This window comes from Homo sapiens, chromosome 11 (genome assembly GCF_000001405.40).
Source record: "Homo sapiens chromosome 11, GRCh38.p14 Primary Assembly".
Lineage (NCBI taxonomy): Eukaryota > Metazoa > Chordata > Mammalia > Primates > Hominidae > Homo > Homo sapiens.
Genome location: NC_000011.10, coordinates 89477609 through 89499949, shown reverse-complemented (window position 1 = coordinate 89499949; position 22341 = coordinate 89477609). Strand labels below are relative to the sequence as shown.

Below are 22341 nucleotides of genomic sequence, written 5' to 3'. Positions count from 1 at the left end.
CTTATTCCTGTAATAGTTTTTCTCTCAATGTAACACAGTATTGAAGTCCAAGGTTAGAATGATAAATAATAATGAGAGGTGCTCAAGCATTATTTTTAAAAAATTAAATATCCACTGATTAAATAATGAACCAGGCATTGTGCTAGGCCCTGGGATTACAAAGATTAATTCCACAGTTTCTTTGACTGGCAGTTGTCTGATTCCCATGGGGAAGACAGATAAACCAACGTATTATACAGTGTGGTATGCACTAACATTAGAGACATTTAAGCTATTAAATCGATATAAGTAAGAGTGATCCAATTGTGAGAATGGAAACAAAAACAAAAAATACTGTGAAATTCCCAGCCTTAAATTTTTGGAGAGTAGGAAAGTTTGGCTGAAGGCTAAATATCATGCCAGATTGTTGAGGAAGAAGACAAGACAATTGTCAAGTTTATTTGTTTATTTATTTATTTCTCTTATTCCTGAACTTCTTCTGTAACAAGTTCTAACCTAAAACCTTTGCCACACTGTTGGCAATTAGAATATTTGGTGAATGCTGAGTTTTCATTTTGAAAATAACCTAAACTGGTTTCACATGTTAGACATTAATTTATTTATTCATTTGTTCATTAAATATATTTTGAGCACTTACTATGTGCCAGGATTTATGTAATGAAGAAAAATTTCTTGCTCTAACACCAGTGCAGCCTCTAGTTCACTGAGCTGCAGCCAAAGGACAAGGGGTGTAAGTAAGGAAATCTCTATTCCATGGCTCCTACAAAGTGGACTGCTTGCAAATGACCCATAGTAAACTGCCCAGGAAGCAACTAGCTAAAAATAACTAGCTACAAATGCCTCTTGCGAGTGCACCCTCTACCGGAGGGGTAAAGAAACCTCACCGAATGCTACAAATGCCGCTTGCAAGTGCACCCTCTACTGGAGGGGTGAAGAAACCTCACCGCAAGCCTTATACTGTAGTGCTTCATGAAATTAGATATTATGAAAAGCCCATTGAACTTCTGATTCAAAAACTTCTTTCTAGCATCTGGTGTGAAAAATTTCTCAAGACTTCAAAATAGGTCTGGGCTTCCAGAGTGCAGCTATTGGTGCTTTGCAAGAGGCAAGTGAAGACCTATCTAGTTAACCTTTTTGAAGGCACAATCCTGTGTGTTATCCATGCCAAAAGTGTGACAATTATGCCAAAGTGCATTCAACTAGCATGCCACAAACATAGCAAATATGCTTAAGAATCCCCTGTGATGGGAAACATTTCATATCCCTCGGCCCTCCTGCCGAATTCTTTTCTTCCTATTATTAGTCATTCTGAACGTTATTTTTTTCCCATGGGATCCAAAGGTACCCAAATATATGCTTGCAAGTGGAAAAATAGGGTACAGAAATCAGTTATTTGCAGTTTTTCTATTTTCATTCGTATGTGAATTTTTAATATAAACGGGATGTGAAGCATTAACGCAAGTCAACATACTTCGGTGAACAAGTTTCAGCAATTCAACTTTATAGCAATTATAAATAAACCTGTTAAGTTATTCTGGACATTTGGATTGACGTTGGGTTGGCAAGTAAATTTTTTACTGACAGCAACTAAATGATGTTTATATAATTTTTATCATATAATAGATTCTATCTTTTTACTATACTTTTCTAAGTTGTCCCACATGCAAATACATGTTTTTAATGTTATCTATCTTCTGTGCTGTGCCTATAAGTTTGTTATTAAAATACATTAAACAACAACATAAACTTCTTTTCCTCAAAGTACTTCTAGTCTAGTTGGAGAAACAACCTAGAAAATGCACCAACAAATGGGGCACAATAACTACTCTGAGAGAGAGTGGCACACAGTGGACGCAAAGAAGAGGTTCCTGATGCAGCTGGGAAGAGTCTACATGGGCCTCTAGCAGGAGAAGATACTGGTCTTGAGTTTGGAGACTAAGTAAGCATCTCCAGGTAAGGTGTGCCATGAAACAAGTAAAGCATACACATAAATGGAAATGTGAGAAAACAGGATATGTTTGGGAAATAGAAAGAATTAAAGAAGTACAGAATATCATATTAGTGTAAAAAAGAAACTGTCAGTGTGAAATAATTATTGGAAGAGAAGTCAGGAAATTTAGATTCTCCTACTGTCTTTCATTTCTTTCATTAAAACCATTACTGAGACCCTACTGATGTTCCAAGCCCAGTGTGTGGCTCTGGGAAAACAAGAATGAACAAAACAGACATGGGATTTGCCTTTGGGAATTTCACAATTTAGTCAGATATAGACAGATATAGTCATTAATCAAACAAGCTCATCAATAAATGTATAAATAAATACCCTCTAAGTGTGCAAAGACGCAGTAGCATGAAGGTGCTCGGTGAGCTCAATGAGCTGAGAAAAAGGCTTTAATTTCCTTTCTGTAACTAAAAGTTATGATGCTTTCCAAAGCCTCTTCCAATTCCAATGTTTTTATGACTGTAAAACTCATATTATTTAATGTGGATTCTAATAGTTTGAGTTTAAGATTTTCTTAATATATTCAGAAAGTGAGTGAGACTATAGAAGTCCAATCATATTTCCTCAATACTTTAAAGCTGTTTGAAGATGCAACCAGAAAACATGGATTCGGGTATTAAGAATATTTTTTCAGACACTTCTGTTTAAAACTTTAAGAACAGTAACATTTCACACACATACAGGAATTACTGTGTTAATAGATGTGTTCAGGAAATGCCATGCAAGATAAAGCACAAATGATATCATAAACAATAGACACAACAGTCTTTGGAGAGTGTGCACTGTCTTGGCAACACAAAGGCCTGCTGGTAAATCTCTACACACCTGGGATGACTGGGGAAAGCTGCCAACCACAACTGCATTTGTGGCCTTAAGCATTAGAACTAAGAACAGGTAGAAGTCCTGGTTCAACAATGACTACATGAAGTAGAGGAAGGAGCAGGTGTATTCGCTCTTGGAAATCTACTACTTAATATCATGGTTACTTTGGGCAAGGTAGTTCAAGTTAGTTACTGTGCATATGCCTCAGTTCTGTCATGTATAAAATTAGAATGAAGAAAATAATGGCCTTACCTACCTTCCTACCTTATAGATTTAAGGAACAAATAAAGAAAAACAATAAGAGGGTTGCTGTGAAATGACAGAGAGAAACATAAAGAGAGGAGAGAGAGAGCTTCTTTGGAAGCTGAAGGCAGTCAGTATTTCTTACATTTATTTTGTAAAAAATGAATTTTCTTTAATAAACACAGAAGTGAATGTATTTCTGTGACTGTTGTTTTCAGTTTGCATTTTAAAAATTGCCCTAATTGCAGCAAAATTTGACTAGTCTGTGTTGGTTTGTATTTATTTTTTCTCTTTTTTTTTTTACAGCTCTATTGATCTATCATTGGCATATAAAATTTTATATATTTAAGGTGTACAATTTGATGTTCTCATATACATATACACTGTGAAATGATTACCATGTTTTTTCTTCTTGAAATTTTATTGGTCTATGAAATCTAGAAGTTTGGAAAAGTGTTTAATGTAGGGCAATTCTAAATAAAAATTCATTATTATTCAGTTTTATTCAACAAGCTTTCATTGAACATCTTCATTTTGAAGTTCTTAAATTGCCTTCACATTTGTAAGCCTTATTTTCCAACAAAGTATCTGGTCCTTAAGGGCATAAGGACCTCTCCAATGTCTTCAGAATTTCTCAAGGAGCTAACCCAGCCATGTGGGTGCACGGTAGACATTCCTAAATGACTGAATCAGATGATGGTCTACACTTGTTTTTGTGTAGAAATGAGAATGAGTCACTGTCTGGAACTTGTCCCCCGACTTGGGAATGTTAAGCCTTTGGACCACTTTTCCCTGGCTCCCTGGTGGGCCTTTCATCCTTGCAAGGGCCTCAGGGACATGATGGAGTTTCCTTTTCTCTTTAATGTCCCTTTCGGTTACTCAAACCTCTAGGATTCTTTTACCCACTCTACCAGTTTATGCTGCATACTGGGATGGAGCTTTCCTAGGTTCCTCTTTTCTCTTCCTGAAAAAACACACAGGCTCTTTTTACATTGAATTTTAATACTAATCCCTCCTGGTAATTAGACATGAAATAACAAAAATGGTAAACTATATCAAATTACAATGGTTAAGAAATCTTACTGAATTCTATCAGGCATGTTTCCTGGTCTATAATTTTTGACTTCTTGAGGGAAATGCTAACTAGGAGTCCCAAACATTTATTCTTTAAGGTAAATTTCTCCAGAAGTCTTATTCTAAGGCTAGCATATCCAATCAGAGAAAGAAAATTAATATGATCTAGGTTAATTAGGTGCTATCCTAGGCTAAATAATAGCCACCTAAAGATAACATATCCTAATCTCAGGAACTTGTAAAGTTACTTTATAAGGAAAAAGGGACTTTGCAGAAGTGATTAAATTTAAGTATCCTGCATAGGGATATTATCCTGGATTATCTGGGTGAGCCCTGAATACAATCAAAAGTGTCCTGGTAAGAGAGAGGCAGAGGGTGATTTGACACACACACAGATTGAAGAGGAGGAGGCAATGTGACCACCGAGGCAGAGATTAGAGTGATACAGCCACAAATCAAAGAATGTCAGCAGCCACTGGAATCTGGAAGAGACAAGGAACAGATTCTCTTTAGCACATCAGAAAAGATGGTGCATTAGTTGCAGTGGCTCATGCATGTAATCCCAGGACTTTGGGAGGCTGAGTCTGGTGGATCACTTGAACCCAGGAGTTTGATACCAGCCTGGGCAAAATGGCAAAATCTCGTCTCTACAAAAACAAAAAACAAAACCAAACAAACAAAAAGCAAACTAACTAAAAATGAACCAGGCGTGGTGGTGTGCACCTGTAGTCCCAGCTACACTGGAGGCTAAGGAGAGAAGATCACCTGAGCTTGGGTGGTCAAGGCTGCAGTGAGCCATGATTGCACCACTCCACTCCAGCTTGGGTGACACAGCGAGATCCTGTCTCAAAAGAAGAAAAGAAAATATTGTGATCTGGTGAACACCTTGATTTTGAACCAATAATACTGATTTCAGACTTCTGACATTCAGAACTGTGAGACGATAAATTTCTGTTGTTTTAGCCCATGACATCTGTAGTGATTTGTTAGCACAGCCATAGGAAACTAACAGAAGGGCCCACTTGTCTTAAATTCCTATCGTTTAACCTGTGGGGTTGGTAACATCCATTTTAAGGGGTTCTTGCCCCGTTTCTTTACCTTTTCTGGTCATTAATTGTCAAGCTGAGCAGAAACTATTTTTATATTACTGGAGAGTTATGCTTGAGAAATTGGGATTTGAGAAAGGCACGGAAAGAAAGATGATATACTTAACCACTATTCCTTCATCTAATAAACGTTGTGTAAATTCCTACTATGTGTCAAGCTATGTGCTAAGTCCTAGAATAAAAATGGAGTAAGACAGGATTTTTGTCCTTAAGAAGTTCAGTTGAGTAGGAGAATTAGACACACACATACGTATAATTAAATTAATTTGTGGAAAATGCAGTAATGATTATGTAGAAAGAGTATTGTATTTCCCCAGTGCATTTCATATTTTGAAAAACACTGTCTACAAAAAAGTTTCTGTGTTTAAGTAATATATAATAGGTTAAGAACAGTTCTAACTGCCAATAGGTTTTATAATTAACATAGGAAGATCAGTGTTATACTACTAGCTTACCATTATTTCAGCCAAAAATCAAAGGTATCTGTCATTTGAGTTTTTATTGTAAAGTCTGTTCCTGGAGAAAGTGTGAATTTTCTTATAATATTTAAAATACTGATGTAGCTACAGAACTCTCTCCCCATTACTTTCAAGAATGGCCTTTCCTAGTTTGGGAAATACAGCAACTATGTCATTAAACAATCTGGTTGGCCAGGCACGGTGGCTCACGCCTGTAATCCCAGCAGTTAGGGAGGCCGAGGCTGGTGGATCACCTGAGGTCAGGAGTTCAAAAGCAGCCTGGCCAATGTGGTGAAACCCCGTCTCTACTAAAAATACACAAATTAGCTGGGCGGGTTGGCACATGCCTGTGATCCCAGCTACTCTACTTGGGAGGCTGAGGTGAGAGAATTGCTTGAACCCAGGAGGTGGAGGTTACAGTCAGCCGAGATTACGACATTGCACTCCAGCCTGGGCAACAAGAGCAAAACTCCATCTAAAATAATAATAATAATAATAATAATAATAATAATAATAATAATAAAACAATCTGGCTTAGAGAAAATTGTATTGCAAACAATCTCATTAATGAGAGTTCCTGCGTAACAGGACACTAGCTCTGTCCCTTGGGGATGGCTTGGAGTACTGTTTCCTGGTAAAGCAACATAAACAGATCTCAGTCCCCTCTTACAGAGTTATGAAATAATAGCCATAAGTAATAACCAACATTTATATAAGCATTCCATCATTTTACAAAATAATTTTACAAAAGTAACTGATTATAGGTTGTTTTAATTGGAAGCAAACCCAGTTTCATTACCTCAAGCAAATTTCTTCATCTCTTTTAGCTTCCGTTTCTCATCTCTTTTTTTTTTTTGAGATAGAGTCTTGCTCTGTCGCACAGGCTGGGTTGGGTGCAGTGGTGCGATCTTGGCTCACCGCAACCTCTGCCTCCCAGGTTCAAGCAATTCTTCTGCCTCAGCCTCCTGAATAGCTGGGACTACAGGCGCCTGCCACCACGCCCGGCTAATTTTTGTATTTTTAGTAGAGACGGGGTTTCACCATGTTGGCCAGGATGGCCTCCATCTCCTGACTCCGTGATCCACCCGCCTCGGCCTCCCAAAGTGTTGGGATTACAGGCGTGAGCCACCGCGCCCGGCAGTCCGTTTCTCATCTTTAAAGTGAGAGTGCTAACACGCACATGGAGGGCTACTATGAGAATGGAGTGAGATTTTGTATATGAAGTAGCAAAGACAGAGCCTGGGACTTAGTAGGTACATTATTAAGAGTTGGAGCCATTTTTTAAACCTTTTGTCTTTTTGTTATTTTTGCTGTTCTGAAAGTCTCTAAGCTTTTAAAAATGGTCTCTTATTTTACTATTCTTGAATTGTTTCACGCTTCTCAACTCATGACAAGAACCTATTCTGCCAATGAACCTCCTGCCCCCATCTATTGAAATTAAAGCTTAGGAGCACCAGTGCATCCCAGAATTTGACTTCCTTCCAGTGGAGAGACCCCTTGGGTTTTTCGTGTGCTCTTTCCCTGATCCTTTAGGTGTCACATGGTCAGAAAGAACATAGTATTATTTATAAACAATATGCTCTCTAACTTCAGAAAGATTTAGGACAGCTTTCTGGATTTGGTCATGCATGAAACAGGAAAAACAGGCTATTAGAAAATTGTGTGAAGTCTAACAGGGACTTGATATGAATTCATTTTGATTTTTAAAACTGAGGACTGCAATCATTAATCAGTTCATTAAATTAATTGGAATAAGTATATTGCATGTAGTGAGAGTAGTAGTATTTTTTGAAATTTTAGTTTTAATTATATCCTATGGCCTGTGTTGTAAGATTTTTTATTTTAAGAGTTTAAAAGCCATTCGATTAAGCAACTAGTAGTAAACTTTTCTGTCTCTCATTAGTTGTTAAATCTAGAAAAGTTATTGGTTTAACAAACCTTTATTGGATATCTATTTTGCATCAGATTTTTTTCTACATGAATGACATTTTTTTCTCTCTCTTTTCTAATACTGATTTGTTGCAGTGTCGAATAGGTACCTGGGTCAACTCCACACACTTCTCACTCTTCACTGGACCTCTGGTACAAGATTGAGAGGATTCCTATTACTTACAAACAGACTAGGTATTAAAACAAAAAGATTCCCGAATAGAGTGAACCTAACCTAGAGCCCCTAAGAATTACATCAGCTTTAACCATTAATTCCCTGGGTTCTTCTTATTCAGTAATGTCTTAAAACCTTTTTATCAGTATGGGATGGGCGGGCAAGGGGATAAAGAAACTGGCGGCTGGTGGGAAGCCTTAGGTAAGGCTGTCAGGGGGGCTTTAGTTTGGGAGTGGGATAATTTGCTGAGGAAGGGTGGGAGAAACGTGAACTAGCACACAAAAGGCTGTTTCCGGCTCAAATTTCGTTACCAAGGCTCTTTGAGATGAACTTTTTTGGGGGAAAACAATCAGTCTAAAAGAGCTGTGTCTTCTTGTGTGTGTGTGTGTGTGTGTGTGTGTGTGTGTGTGTGTACAAGGGGGCGGCGAGGGTCCCCACTTTTAGTATGAGTAGCATTGTTCACATGTTTGCCAGTATTTTGGAGCCTGGCAGGCCTGGGTAGAGGCTGCGGGGGACGCCTCCAAGTTCCCACCCGGGACATCCTGAACAGCAGCAGCCACAACAACAGGCTCGCCCCTAGACAAAGGGGCCGGCGCGGCGGAGCAGACTGGTGCAGCCTGGGCCGCGCGCTCAGAGCGCTGGGCGTCTGGGCAGCTGAGTGGGCAGAGCTGACCCGGTGCGGGTGGGAGTCAGGGCGCCCGGAAAACCCGGCTCTGGGTAGCAGACCCCGCCCGGGCTGGCTCGGCGCCGGGCCTTCGGGCTTCCACTCAGTCTTTGACCCTCGGTCCTCGCTCAGCGGCCCGGCAGGCCGCACAACTGTAACCGCTGCCCCGGCCGCCGCCCGCTCCTTCTCGGTCCGGCGGGCACAGAGCGCAGCGCGGCGGGGCCGGCGGCATGGCTGTGTCCTGGAGGAGCTGGCTCGCCAACGAAGGGGTTAAACACCTCTGCCTGGTAGGATGGCGGGCTAGGCTCTCCTTGCGTTCTCTCTGTCCTGCAGTGATTTTGATTCATTCTCTGAGCGTGCACGGGTGGGAAGCTGGAAGTGGAAGTTTTGTCTTAATTCGAACATTCTCAACTTACAAAACTTTATGCTGGAGATAACAATGAACACTCCCCCTCCCACCCCCTCGCCTGTCCCCCAAATGCATGAGAATTTTTCTGCACATTGATGGGAGAGATGTGGAGGAAGAGGGAAGAGGTCATTTTCCGTGAATACAGCTTTTCTTTTTACCCTTTAAACATTTTTGCTCCCTTTGTTCTTTTCCCAGATTACTTCTGTTTGCTTGGGGTATGGTGATGTCATTAATTTCTTAATCTCATTTTGTACGGCAGGGGATAGCTGTAAATCATTTAGGAAACCTATTTGCAACCCAAATGCTTAGTCTCAGGTGAAAGGGCTGGGTAAAGTCAGATTTGTTTTCCTCTGAGTGGTTTTCAGCTTGCTGGTTAATTGAAAATGCTTTCTGCAGTTACTGATTTAGGTTCCATTGAAAGCACTGTGTCGAAGAATTTACCTGTGGTTTCTATTCATCAGGTAATAATTATTTTCAATTTTTGTTTTCTGTCTCTCATGTCTGATTGGTTTAGTTCATCTGGCTCTCCATGAATGTCCTGCTTTTCTGGAAAACCTTCTTGCTGTATAACCAAGGGCCAGAGTATCACTACCTCCACCAGATGTTGGGGGTAAGTAAGGTGAACTTGGATAATCTGGTGGAATGGGTTTAACACTGGCAGACATTGCTACAGGTTTGGTCAGTTCCATTCATTAAAGAAATGTGCACTCTTCACTTTGAAAACCTTTGTTGTTCTCTAAAGTGGTCACATTTTCCTGATTTATCATTTACACTTGTACAAGTTAAAAAGATTGACTCTCTCAAGAACCAAAGGTAATATCTGCTGAAGTGAAACGAATGAACCTGCCAGACCAGGTTATTGGTGCCTTAAAAAAATTGCTACTTATTGCCAGCTGCTAAGTACCCTGAAGGATCTGATTCACTAGGAGGATCAACCAATAACAAGCTTTTAGTATATACTTATCAGTGCTTTTAGCCTGCTCATGAGCTTATCCAGAGGATTTCTGCACTGTTTGTTTTTACTGACAACTCTCACAAAATATGGGTCTAATGGGGTTATTCATTTCTGGGCAGTTCTCAGTGCTTGCTTTGGGTTAGTGGCTGATGATATTCCAGTATTCTACTATAATATGAGAAAGATACTGGGCAAAACTTTTTTCTGATTTATTTTATGTTAATATTTTTCTTTCTTTTCTATGATGTTTCTGATTTCATTCTTCTGTTCCATCTCCTTCTTATTTGACTGCTTAACAGAAGATAGTGTCACTGAAGGCATATTACTTTGCACAAGGAGATTGCGTTTTCTTTTTCTTTCTTTCTTTCTTTCTTTTTTTTTTTTTGAGACAGAGTCTTGCTGCGATGCCCAGGCTGGAGTGCAGTGGAGTGATCTCAGCTCACTGCAACCTCTGATTGCCTGGTTCAAGCAATTCTCCTGCCTCAGCCTTCTGAGTAGCTGGGACTACAGGCACGCACCAGCACACCTGGCTAATTTTTGTATTTTTAGTAGACACAAGGTTTCACCATGTTGGTCAGGCTGGTCTAGAACTCCTGACCTCAAGTGATCCGCCTGCCTCAGCCTCCCACAGTGCTGAAATTACAGGCGTGAGCCACCATGCCCGGCTGAGATTGCATTTTCTAAGCAACAAGCAAAAAGTGTAAAACCCTGCAAAAACTTAGGGAACCTGAAAAAATAGATTTTGCATTTTGGTGAGTGGGGGGGTGCAGAAAAAAACACATTTTGCTTTTTTATTTTTTTTCATGGTTTAATGACTACTTAAAATTAAGACGAGCTCAGACAAATTCAGTGGAACCAGCTCTCCCTTCTATGTTTTACATGGAGAGATCTTATTTATCTGTAATTCTCAGTACCCAGACTAGTGATTGGCACATATTAAGCCTGCAACAAGTTGCAGTTGAATTAATTAATTAATTTTTTATACAACAAAGTAATATCATAATCTGTTGATCACACACTTTATAAAGTTTAACTTCTAGGTTTTAAGCCAATGGGTTGAAAAAAATAGTCTGTAAAGCTAAACCCATTTCATTTATTTCTTTCATCCATCCAATCCAGGAACTGTCTTGAAACCTATACATTTCAGATGGGCACCCAGAGAGTAAGACCTCACCTCGCCCCTCAAGTTGCTTACAATATAATGGAAAAACCAACAAATAAATAATTATAATTCAATAAACAAGAAAAGGTTTCTTCTAATAAACACATGAGGTCTGATAACTTTTTGGTTTTGTTTTCTAGTATTTCCCCATTAGGTGTAACTTAATGAATAGGACGTTTTTCAGTGGAAGCTTTATCTCATCTATTACATAACTTGATGAACAACTTGGAGAAAACTCTTTAGATATAGAATGGTAAAATTTGCTCTGGATCACGAGGTATTTGTATTAATATAAAAATCTAAGAACTGGAAATTTATTGCAATAACCTAGAAAGCCATAACTGAACTTTGGATTTTAGCTTTGTGAGATAGTATAAGCTAAAATAACATCTTATTTCTTAAAAAAATAATTATTTGGAAACCAACTCATTAATTTTCATGAACTTGGATACTGTATAACTGAATTTCAAATTTAATTTGGTGGTAAGTCAGATATGATTAAGATCACATATGCACAGAAACATAAACCAACAAATTTGGAAAACATTTAAACTATGTTTCACCTCTCTACTTCCATCCCACTTCACTGCTTCTGCTTGAATAACAGACAGGGTAATGAGCTTCAAGGACTGCTGACACATAGGGCTCAATAAATATTGATCAAGGGAATGAAGAAAAAAAATGATAAAAGGACCAAATGGAAGACTAGGAGCATAAAGGATAAGAAACAGATTCAAGAAAGGAGAGGTTGTTATAAATTAGTTTTTAAGAACACACAAGTATAATTATAGTGAGTTGATATTTGAGCTATCTGGTAAGTATTCTCCATTTTACCAAGAGTCACTGTGGACAGGAATGGTCTTTCTACATGCTGAGAGATAAAATATGACTTATAAACTTCTCAGTAATTATCTGTTATGAATTTTCCAGTCATTAATTTATCTAAGCTATTTTGGAATAGGTATTTTCAGTCTGTATATTACCTTTTATTGGAAAAGAAACTCCTTCTACAGTTTTACTATCTATGAAGTAGTGTTTAATTTTATGTCCTAGGCTTATCTTTTCTAATCTTATAATAAGTGTTGCATTATTTCATAGAGTAACAATTTGCAGGCACTTTTCAAATTGCAAAGAAATGCAGTATAACAAAGAGATAGAATTAATTTTTAAATAAATATTGCTGGTTCTGATGTTTTACATTTTTAAGAACTATATGTTATTAACTTAGCATCTTAGAGTGATGCATCTTAGAACTTAGCAAACACTTGGTCCCACTGGTATACGCATGTGGGATTCCTGAAGAGAGTCAAGGTATATTATAAGTCTCTTTTAGGTGGATTTTAGGTTTGTAAAAATCATGATGTTATTTCTGGAAATGTATTTCATTGTACCATTTAAAATGCAAATAGAAACAATACTTTCATGGCTGAACATTTTGATAATAGCTTTGAGTATAAAGTTGCTGTCATTCGTCTGTGAAATGTAAGGTAATAACAAAGTTGTACTAGTACAGGAAGGACCCACAGAATATGGTCCATTTATTGGAAGACACAGACAATGAGAAACAGTTAATTCTTAGTAATTGCTTGAAAATCTCTATTTTCTATTGAAGAATGACTTTTTATTCAAATGTTTACTTATACCTGTGATATGCCAGGAATTTTACAAATGTTTTGTTTAAGCTGGGAAACTGTTCTCTCTGTTTTACATACAAGGAAATATGGGCTGAGGAAGCTGTATGACTCGCTGAAATACCTTTTAATGGTCAGTGTCAGAGCTAGGATTTGAATACAGCCCTGTCTGACCTCTGCTTTTTCATCATACTACGTAGCTTTTCTAAACGACTTCACTGGTCCATGTCAGATACTTATACTACTGGTTAGTATTAATTTTTACCAGTGCTGCCCAACAGAAACATAAAGCAAGTCATATATATAATTTAAAGTTTTCTAGTAGCACATTAAAAAAAGGAAAAAGAAACCAGTGACATTTATTTAATAATATGTGGCCAACTAACCAGGCTGTAAAAGAGACATCAGGACATGGGTAGTCCTCTTGCTCCTCCTCTACTAAGCAGGAATTGTCAAAGGATGGGAAGTTGTGGAACTACAAAAATTATTGGTTTGGGAGGCCAAGGTGGGAGCATTGCTTGAAGCCAGGAGTTTGAGACTAGCCAGAGCAACAAAGTGAGACCCCATCTTTACAAAAATAAAAAAAATATACATATATATACACATATATACACACATATATGTATATATACACATATATACACACATATATATGTATATATACACATATATACACACATATATATGTATATATACACATATATACACACATATATATGTATATATACACATATATACACACATATATATGTATATATACACATATATACACACATATATGTATATATACACATATATATGTATGTGTATATATGTGTATATATGCACACAAACACACACACACACACACACACATATATTAGCTGGGCGTGGTGGCACATGCATGTAATTGCAGCTACTTGGAAGGCTGAGGCAGGAGGATTGCTTGAGCCCAGGAGTTTGGAGGCAGCAGTGAGCTATGATTGGGCCACTGCATTCCAGCCTGGGTGACACAGCTAAATAAATAAATAAATATTTAAATAAATAAATTTATTTATTTATTTATTTAAATAAATAAATAAAATTGGTATAGAACTATAAAAATCTCCCTGACTTCTGTCTCATCTTCTGAGTTTTCTGAAGGTGGGAATCTTTGAGAATGAAGGTGAAAGTATTTACTTCTCAGAACTAGAGTATCCACTTTTATTTCTGGGTTATTATTCTCGTAATAAAATTAAAGAGTAAAAAAAATACATACGAATTGATAGAAAAAATAAGATCTTAATTGCTAGAAGATAAAATATAACATTGGGATTAATATGTTTTATTGGGGGTTCTCATCATGATTATCCTTCCCCAGACTGGTCTGATCCAGAGTGGAGGCAACGTGGTCATGGCTGGTTTATGCCTGAGTTAATGTGCTAATCAGACTGTGCACTTCCTAGGAGATGTTTAATTGTGACATGTCATGAGTTTTGGAATCTTAAAATTAGCTAAGAGGAAAAAAAAATCTATTGAGAGAAGCCAAAATGAACACCGAAACAAGCAAACCAACAAACCAAACAATAGCCTGCTCCACTCCCCCATGGCAACCTTTTAAATAAGTCACTTCATTGATTGCTTAAGATTAAATCCATTTTCATTTATTTATTTTCAAGAATGGAAAATGTAGTTGCCTGAACTTTATAGAAATTAGTAACAGGTTGTGTTCAACTCTCAGAAATGTAGTTTTCTTTTCTTTTTTTGGAAATATTGGAGCAGTTTAACTCAAAACACCATTTATAGGAGCTCTTGAATTCATGTTTACCTGTTTTGAGTTGCGTTTTTTACATTTTAATAATTAAAGAATATCATGTAATTCCCATAAACATTTTAACTTGAAAAGAGAATGATTTTATGATATCAGATTCAATGTGTCTTAGTTATATATATATATTCAATGTGTCTTAGTTATATATATTATATTTTTCCCTCCAAACTATTCAATTTCAAACTAGTTATTCACATGGTGTCAGGATAAGATTTTAATTTTTATTTTGCTTTTATTCACAAATATTGTTTTAGATCTGCTGCATGATCTTGAAGCTTTTTTTAAACTTTTATTGAAATATCTATGCTCTTGAGCATTCAGATTCTTTCTAGTGAAACACTGGGATTATCTTTCTTTAGTCAATCATTATCCATTAGAAACATTAACTAATTTACCCTCTCAAGAGTCCTAGAAGTTATATCATAACATTTTACAGAGACAGAAATCTGATGTCATGTGAATTTCTTAAGGTCAGAGACTGGAGTCTCTGGACAAATGGATCTAGGATTTTAAGTCAATGTTAGTTTCACAGCTGGCCTGGGCAGCTTTAATTCTGCTGAGAATGAATATATGATCCCTGTTACTTTCAGAAGAGATTTGGTCATTAAATCCTAATTATACAGACTGTAAAATCACTAGCTAGAGTTGCTCAGGCACATGTTATGATAACAATTCAGGGGACATTTTTAGATGAGTGTTATTTTGCTTATTTGTTTTTATTCTTAACATTCTGTTATTTAGACACAATTTTCTTGTTTATTGATGGGTGAAATGGGTTATATTTCTTTGATGAAATTATATTCTTTATCTATTTACAATAGACACTGATTCATAGAGTTTTAGACTTGGAAGGAAACTTTGATATCTTTACTTAACTTTTCATTTTCCGAAATGGAAAAATGAGATTGAGGTGATTTGTTCACTATCACCTACTGAATTAGTGACTTGGTCACTATTTAGTCTATTGTTCTCCTTAGTCCAATATTAGCCACTATAATGAACAGCTGTATGAACACACGCAAGAACATTTTAAACCCCACACTGTATGGACTACTAGCTTTACATTTTAGGTGAAATGATACTTTAAAATGTCTAGCAATTTAAGAAGCTAGCGAAAATGATTGATTTACTCTCAAAATAAAATATATTTTTAGTATTATAGTTGTTTGAGACTTGCCAATAAATTGTGAAGGAATTATGAGCATTTTTATTTAAATTTATTCTGATTTCACAATACTTTTCAGAATTCTAAGGCTCAATATTTAACCTCGTTGTGATATATAGCTAAATGCTAACTGCATAATTCTCCTTTATCAATATCATCCCAAACAGCATAGAATTGGAAGTTAGAATGAATCTCAAAGATAGTCAAATCTTTATTTTTTAATAAATGATATGAATAATATCAATAACAGATTGTGCTCAGTGATAACTGGCTAATACTAGACTTTAGTCTAAGAGCTTTGCACTGATTAATTTATTTAATTCTCTCATCCATAGTATGGAAGGCATGATTTCAAGTTTTTGTTTTGTAGCTGAGAAACTGAGTTAGAGGGGTTCTATAACTTGCTAGTGAGGGACAGAAGCAGGACTCAAGCCCAAAGATCCTGGTTCCAGAACTTGTATTCTTGTTTTATAAAATTTTAATTGACAAATGCCAATTGTATTTATTGTGTACCACATTATATTTTGAAATATGTGTATATTGTGAAATGGCTAAGTCAAGATAATTACCATGTATATTACCTTACATGCTTATCTTTTTTTGTGATAAAAGCAGAAAATCTACTGTCTTAGCAATTTTCAAGAATAAATTGTTATAAACTATAGTCACCATGTTGTACAATAGATCTCTTGAACTTATTCTTCCTGTCTATCTGAAATTTTGTATCCTTTGAATAACAGCTACCCAACCCCCTCCCACCCCCACCAGCACCTGGTAACTACCATTCTACTCTCTACTTCTGTAAATTCGGTTACATTCTTTCTTAGATGACACATATAAGTAACATTATGTGGTATTTGTCTTCCTGTGCCTGGCTTATTTTACTTAACTTGATGTCCTTCAGGTCTCCTTTCATGTTGTCACAAATGGCAGGATTTCCTTCTTTTTTGTAAAGCTGAGTAGTATCCTATTATGTATACATACCATGTTTTCTTTATGCATTTATCTGTTGACCAAATTTGTATTCTGAGCCATTGTGCTCTGTTGTTTCTTTGCAACATTAATATTAGGTTGAATCATATAGATTGGTAGATCAGAAACAGTCAAAAATCAGCCATTTTATATGGCTCAACCTAATAGCAACTGTTACCATTTATTGATTATATATGACGTGTCAGACACAGTTCTTGGCCCCTTTTATAATCTCATTTAATCCTTATATTTAATTGAATCCTTGTAACAACAGTAGAATATAGGAATTATTGATTTTTACAGAATTAAGAAGCTTAGATTAGGAACTATTTGCTTTTTACAGAATTGAGAAACTGAGATTCTGAGTGGTTCGGTAACTTTCTGAGTAGTTAGGTTACATAGCTGACTAGTAGAGAAGCCCAGGTTGAGCCCACACCTGTCTGAAACTGAACACCATGCTCTCAATCACTCTGCTTTCCAGGTGAGGTTCTGAAACAGATAGTGTTAGAACCTGCAATTCTCTACTGTTGTCTAAGGTCCTTATACATTTTGCCATGGTGGTGCTGAATATACTGTTTGTGTTTCCCTCTGTTTGCTGTTTGCATGTTAGTGTGCTTTTTGTATCTGTTAAGAAGTATTTGATCAGAAGTAAATTCAAGCATATATGCATTATTCTTATATATGAGGTGGACTTGTATAACTAATACCTACTCTGTTAGTTTGCTAGGGCTGCCATAACAAAGTACCACAGACTGGGTGGTTTAAAGGAAAGAAATTTCTTCATAGTTCTAGAAACTAGAAGTCCAAGATGAAGGTGTCAGCAGGGTTGGTTTCTTCTGAGGGCCTCTCTCCTTGACTTATAGAGGGCTTTCTTCTTCCAATGTCTTTGTATGGCCTTCCTTCTGTGTGTATGTCTTAATTTCTTCTTATAAGGGCACCAGTCATATTGGATTAGGGCCCATCCCAATGACCTCATTTAACCTTAATTACCCCTTTAAAGATTGTGTCCAAATATAGTTACATTGTGAGTTAAATTCAACTTGGTACAAATACCAACTTTGTCAGTCTTCCTCTGGAAGCTAAGCATGCATTTTGAGAAATTAATTTGAAGTTAATGTATTTTTTTTTCTCCTTAATTGTAGAAGCCCAGCTGAGCACTAGCATTCCAGAATGACATGGCAAAAGGGTCCTTCCCAGGCCTTTTTAGGAAGGTATTGTAATGTTCCTCCTTAGAGGTTTGTCGAGCTTTATTCTTAGCCCTACCCTACAACTATTTTAAACATGCTCTTACACAACCCTTTATTCCCTCCATTACCTCAAAGAAGAAAATCAGATAAATTAGCACCTCTGAGGAGTAGCATCAATATTTTATTTTGATTTTTTAGATCTTGGCATCAAGAGTATGAATTCAGGGAACTGACTCCCAGAAAAGGAAGTAGGGAATATTGAGGAACTACTTTACCTTGCACACCACTGAGGCCAATAATAGTAGCAGTCGTCGTAGCCCTAGTCCTAGTCATAGTTGTATATACTTTCTTCTGGGCAATGCTCAGCCTGGAGGGAGAGGAGCCTGTAGAACTGTGGACTGTTCTAGTCCATTTACCCTGTTTGATGGATGAATTTCATATAGTTAAATGCTTTCTTTATGGACTCAGTGCAAAGCTGAATGTGGAATGTAGGTCCTCTAACTCCTGGTCAGTGTTTCTTCATGTCTATCATGCTAAGCATTGTGTTTATCATAAAACTGATTTTAAAATTGCCTAAGTAATTCTGGAGAGAAAAATAATTATAATTTCTTACTGAAAAGGTCATGGGCTTTGGAGCCATATGGATATGAATTTCAATTGTGGTTAAGCATTTCTCTCCCTTTGTGATTTTGATATACTATTCTCTCAGCCTAGGTGTAAACCCTACTCATAAAATAGGGCTTAAGCCCTACTCTTAGTTTAGATGGAAGGACAACATGAGAAAATGCAGGTGAAGTGCTTAGCACTTGGTACATAGGCATTCAGCAAATTGATAACTATTACTATAAATATTAAATAATGGTAATTAGTATTAATGGCATCAATATTATGAATAGAACCAAATGGTAATATTGTATTGTGTATATATATATACACACACACATATATATATAACATATATATGTTAAAAAGAATTCAGAGACATAAAGATGGAAGGGATTTGCTGAGCATACAGATGCTGAGCATATGAGATGACACCTAGGACAGAGATTTACCCTTTGATCTATTATTTCAGTGCTCACAAGGGTGCTTAATAAATGGCTGTTTGATGATGAGGTTGTATGTTTGCTCGTCAGTAGGAACATGTTACCTTCAGTCCTTTGGTTGACCTTTGGCTGCCTCCCTGATCCTCTGGAGAGAGGAAGGCTATTTACTGCTATTTGCTATTGGCAAAAAGTTTGTGGCAATTTGGCTATGATTCTTGGGTGGAATTTTAGTTTGAGGTGGAACATATTTCATTCAACAAAACATTACTTAATACTTTTTATTAATCTTCACTGAATCTTGGAATTTCAACAGATAAATAAGATAAATTACCTATCTCAGATTACTATAAATTTTAAAGAAAATTAAAATAAATAATAATAATAGCTAGAGCTAGCTTTCATTGCAATCTTTTCATGGGCCTGACATTGTGCCAAGTTCCTGTTATGTTCTTTGCTGCAGTCTCCACTATTCTACAAGGTAGGTTCTATTCATGAGAGGAAGCTAAAGAACAGAATTTGTAAGCAATTTGCGCATTGATTATAAGCACCTAACATGAAGTCTATTCCATAATAGGAGCTGTAAAAATGTCAGTCGTCTTCTTTCCTCCCTCTGCTCTTATCCTTCACAGCCTCATAAAATAATTCACCTTACTGTTTTATACCCCAGGAAAACATGATGGAAATATTCTACTTATCTCAGAATATTGTGCTGAGCATTATGACTTAATACATAAGAAAGTAGTTTGAAGAATTAAGTTTCACAGATGTGGAAGACTGTTGTTATGTCGTGTTTTTGTCTCCTATCATTTCACAAAGCTTTTAAGGCTCCAGTCATGGTGCCATGACATTGTTCCCCTGGACATCATTAAGGAAAGTTTGAAGAAAGGAATGAGACGTTTGTCTTCATGCCAAAAAAAATGGCAGTCAACCCTTAGCATGCAATATGCTTTACCTTTGCAGTGTGACTGTTGAAGTGGGATCGTGAAAGTCTGTTACATGTTGTACTTAATAGCAAAACAAGTATATACAGTTGACTCTTTAACAGCAAAGATTTGAACTGCGCAGGTCCAGTTACATGCAGATTGTTTTCAACCAAATGTGGATTTGCAGGATATGAAACCCGCATATACTAAGGACCGACTTTTCCTGGAGGCCAATTCCATGGGGCCCACTGGGGCACTTGAATATTCACAGATTTTGTTATATGTGGGGATCCTGGAACCAATCCCCCACATATGCCAAGGGATGACTGAAAGAGCAAATTACACAGGTAGTGAGTGAGTCTATGTGATTCCTAGAATTACATCCTAAAGCAAGTTTGTGATATAATAAAACCCGAGCAATGCGATAAAAAGTTAGTGTCTAGTGAAAAGTAGTTTACTTTCAGTTCTGACAATGAGACTAAAGGAAAAGTAAATAAAGGAAAAGAAGGACTTTGCTCAATCAGTAGAAATTGTGTTCATCTTTAGAAATTAGAAAGTTGAATTTGACAATGGCTCTCATCTCTAAATGGAAACTATCAAAGGTTTTCATGGATATGGGAACCCATGAAAGGATTGTTCAAGGTCTCCAGACACATATCAAGACTTTCAGAGGTCTGATATATTTTAAGGGAAGAAGAGATGAGTGATATAACCAAAGTATAATAATTTTATATAGCTGAGTGTTTTTTTTCTAATGGAGGCATTTTAACAATAGGGTATAATAAAGAAAAGATTATATGGAATGCCTTTCTGACTATATCTCTTTTCTTTATGATCAAATTTTCAAATACCTGATTTCAAATTGCAAATAATCTCATTAATGTGATCATAGAAAGCTAAGGTCCGGTGGGAGGATCTGGAGTGGCAGTGATCCAAACAAGTTTCTTTTATCCCCATGCTATACTTTTGATTCTCTTTGTAAGCTTCCTTTTCTTCCAATATGTCTTCCTTTACGTGCTTTTCCTTTAGCATCTTATACTGAATAAAATCCCTGCTACTCTACCTTATATGGAAGCATAGACTTCAAGGAGGGTGAAGATCTCATAAGATGAGAAAGTTGTAGAACAAGAAAATAACCACCTATTGAGAATACTTAGGAGATAAGGTGATGAGATTACTTTTATTTCTCACTGATTTTCCTTGGCCACATTTCATTTTTTTTTTTTTTAAGATGAAACAAAACAGGATCTCATTATGTTGCCCAGGCTGGAGTGTAGTGGCTATTCACAGGCATGATCATAGTGCACTACAGCCTTAAACTCCTTGGCTCAAGTGATTATTCTCTGGGGTTGCAGATGGGCTTGGACTGTGTAGAACCCATCACTGAACTAACATTTACTATTTTGATTTTGTACATTTTTAAAAAACATAAGAGTGAAAGAATGAGTCAAACGTAAATCTTGGAAGAGTTTAGTTTATGGGCTGAGAATGGATCTACAGGGTTTCTTTAACTTTGATCTACTTGAAGAAAATTGGTCTTAGACTTGTACTGGGTTTAAATGAGTGTGTCATGCTTGAAGAAAATACATTTTGTTCAGTGCACAAATTTTAGGTATATGAAAGTTAATTCGTTAAAGTCCTTTATGACCGTCATTCTGATTCTTGATAAAATCAAGTGTCTGCTATCACCTTTTCCTGAGCACATAGTGTCTATCAGCTCAAATATCAACTATGGTAATATTTGTGAAAAGTCGACAATATCAGTGAGAGTGGCATGATGTCATGAAAAGAACATGGATTTTGTGGAAAATTGATTTAAGTTGAAATCTCAACTTCACCTCTTAACAAATATACCTGTAAATGATTTATTAAAATTTTGAAAGCCTTAGTTTTCTCAGTTTTCAGTTGAGATTTATATTATTAATTGAGCTACATGAAAATTTCAATATAGAAACATTTTGACTTACAAAAATGACAATTTAGGTTAACCTGTGTTTAGTTTAACCTAATATATCGCTTATAAGATTTTTTTTTGTCAGGGGACAGGGGCAGGGAAAGAGAGGAAAAGATTAACCAAGGTGAGGAAGAAATGAGTGTAAGACTCTCAAAAAGTGTTAATTCCCTTCATCCTAACGGCAAGTTATAGTAGACAAATTTATGACAATGCTAAGACTTATCTATTTCAGAAAACATCTTTGGAATTAAGAATGTTTTGAAGTTGAAATTTATTTATAAACATTTGTTAATGATTATAAAAATTTCCAACAGTTAAGAGAAAATACCTTCTAGTTTAGAGCAAAGCATGCATTTTGAAGTGATATGAAAAAATATTTTGCCAATGACAGTATATATTATTTTCTTAGTTAGAATTTCAAAAATATTTAAGCTCACAGTTAATTGTTTTCCAATTGGCTGTGGTTTCCACATTTTAGCTCCCAAATTCTTGGCCTTTATAAAACCTTCGTCAAGCAGCTCATAAATTGATATACACATGAAAAAGACCCATTTTATAGGAGAGTAACAGTGAATTATTTCCATAAAAACAAAAAAGTTTTAAAAACTTTTTTGATATCAAGTACAGGATATTTAATTAAACATATACCTCAGTTCATAACACACTATCCTCATG

General features: G+C 36.4%; 1 protein-coding gene and 1 pseudogene across 9 annotated transcripts in view, besides 2 other annotated features; both read left to right on the top strand.

The window, feature by feature from the left end:
* The window catches only part of NOX4 (NADPH oxidase 4), a 265205-nt gene that overhangs the window by 89608 nt on the left and 153256 nt on the right, over window positions 1-22341 (top strand). For 3 of the 9 annotated variants that reach the window (NM_001291926.2, NM_001143836.3, NM_016931.5), the window contains exons 1-2: window positions 8575-8760; window positions 9397-9492. Coding sequence is in view for 7 of the 9 variants with exons in the window: in NM_001143836.3 (NP_001137308.2) it covers window positions 8704-8760; window positions 9397-9492 (153 nt within the window). In the remaining 2 variants the exon portion in view is untranslated. 9 annotated transcript variants of the gene reach the window in all.
* On the top strand, window positions 752-1202 carry H3P34 (H3 histone pseudogene 34; annotated as a pseudogene).
* Window positions 7617-8323: an enhancer, noted in NCBI's record as "H3K27ac-H3K4me1 hESC enhancer chr11:89224795-89225501 (GRCh37/hg19 assembly coordinates)". NCBI's record gives its function as "activates a minimal SCP1, AML or CMV promoter by ChIP-STARR-seq in naive H9 embryonic stem cells {active_cell/tissue: H9 hESC(naive)}" and the evidence as "EXISTENCE:reporter gene assay evidence [ECO:0000049][PMID:30033119]".
* Window positions 8324-9030: an enhancer, noted in NCBI's record as "H3K27ac-H3K4me1 hESC enhancer chr11:89224088-89224794 (GRCh37/hg19 assembly coordinates)". NCBI's record gives its function as "activates a minimal SCP1, AML or CMV promoter by ChIP-STARR-seq in naive H9 embryonic stem cells {active_cell/tissue: H9 hESC(naive)}" and the evidence as "EXISTENCE:reporter gene assay evidence [ECO:0000049][PMID:30033119]".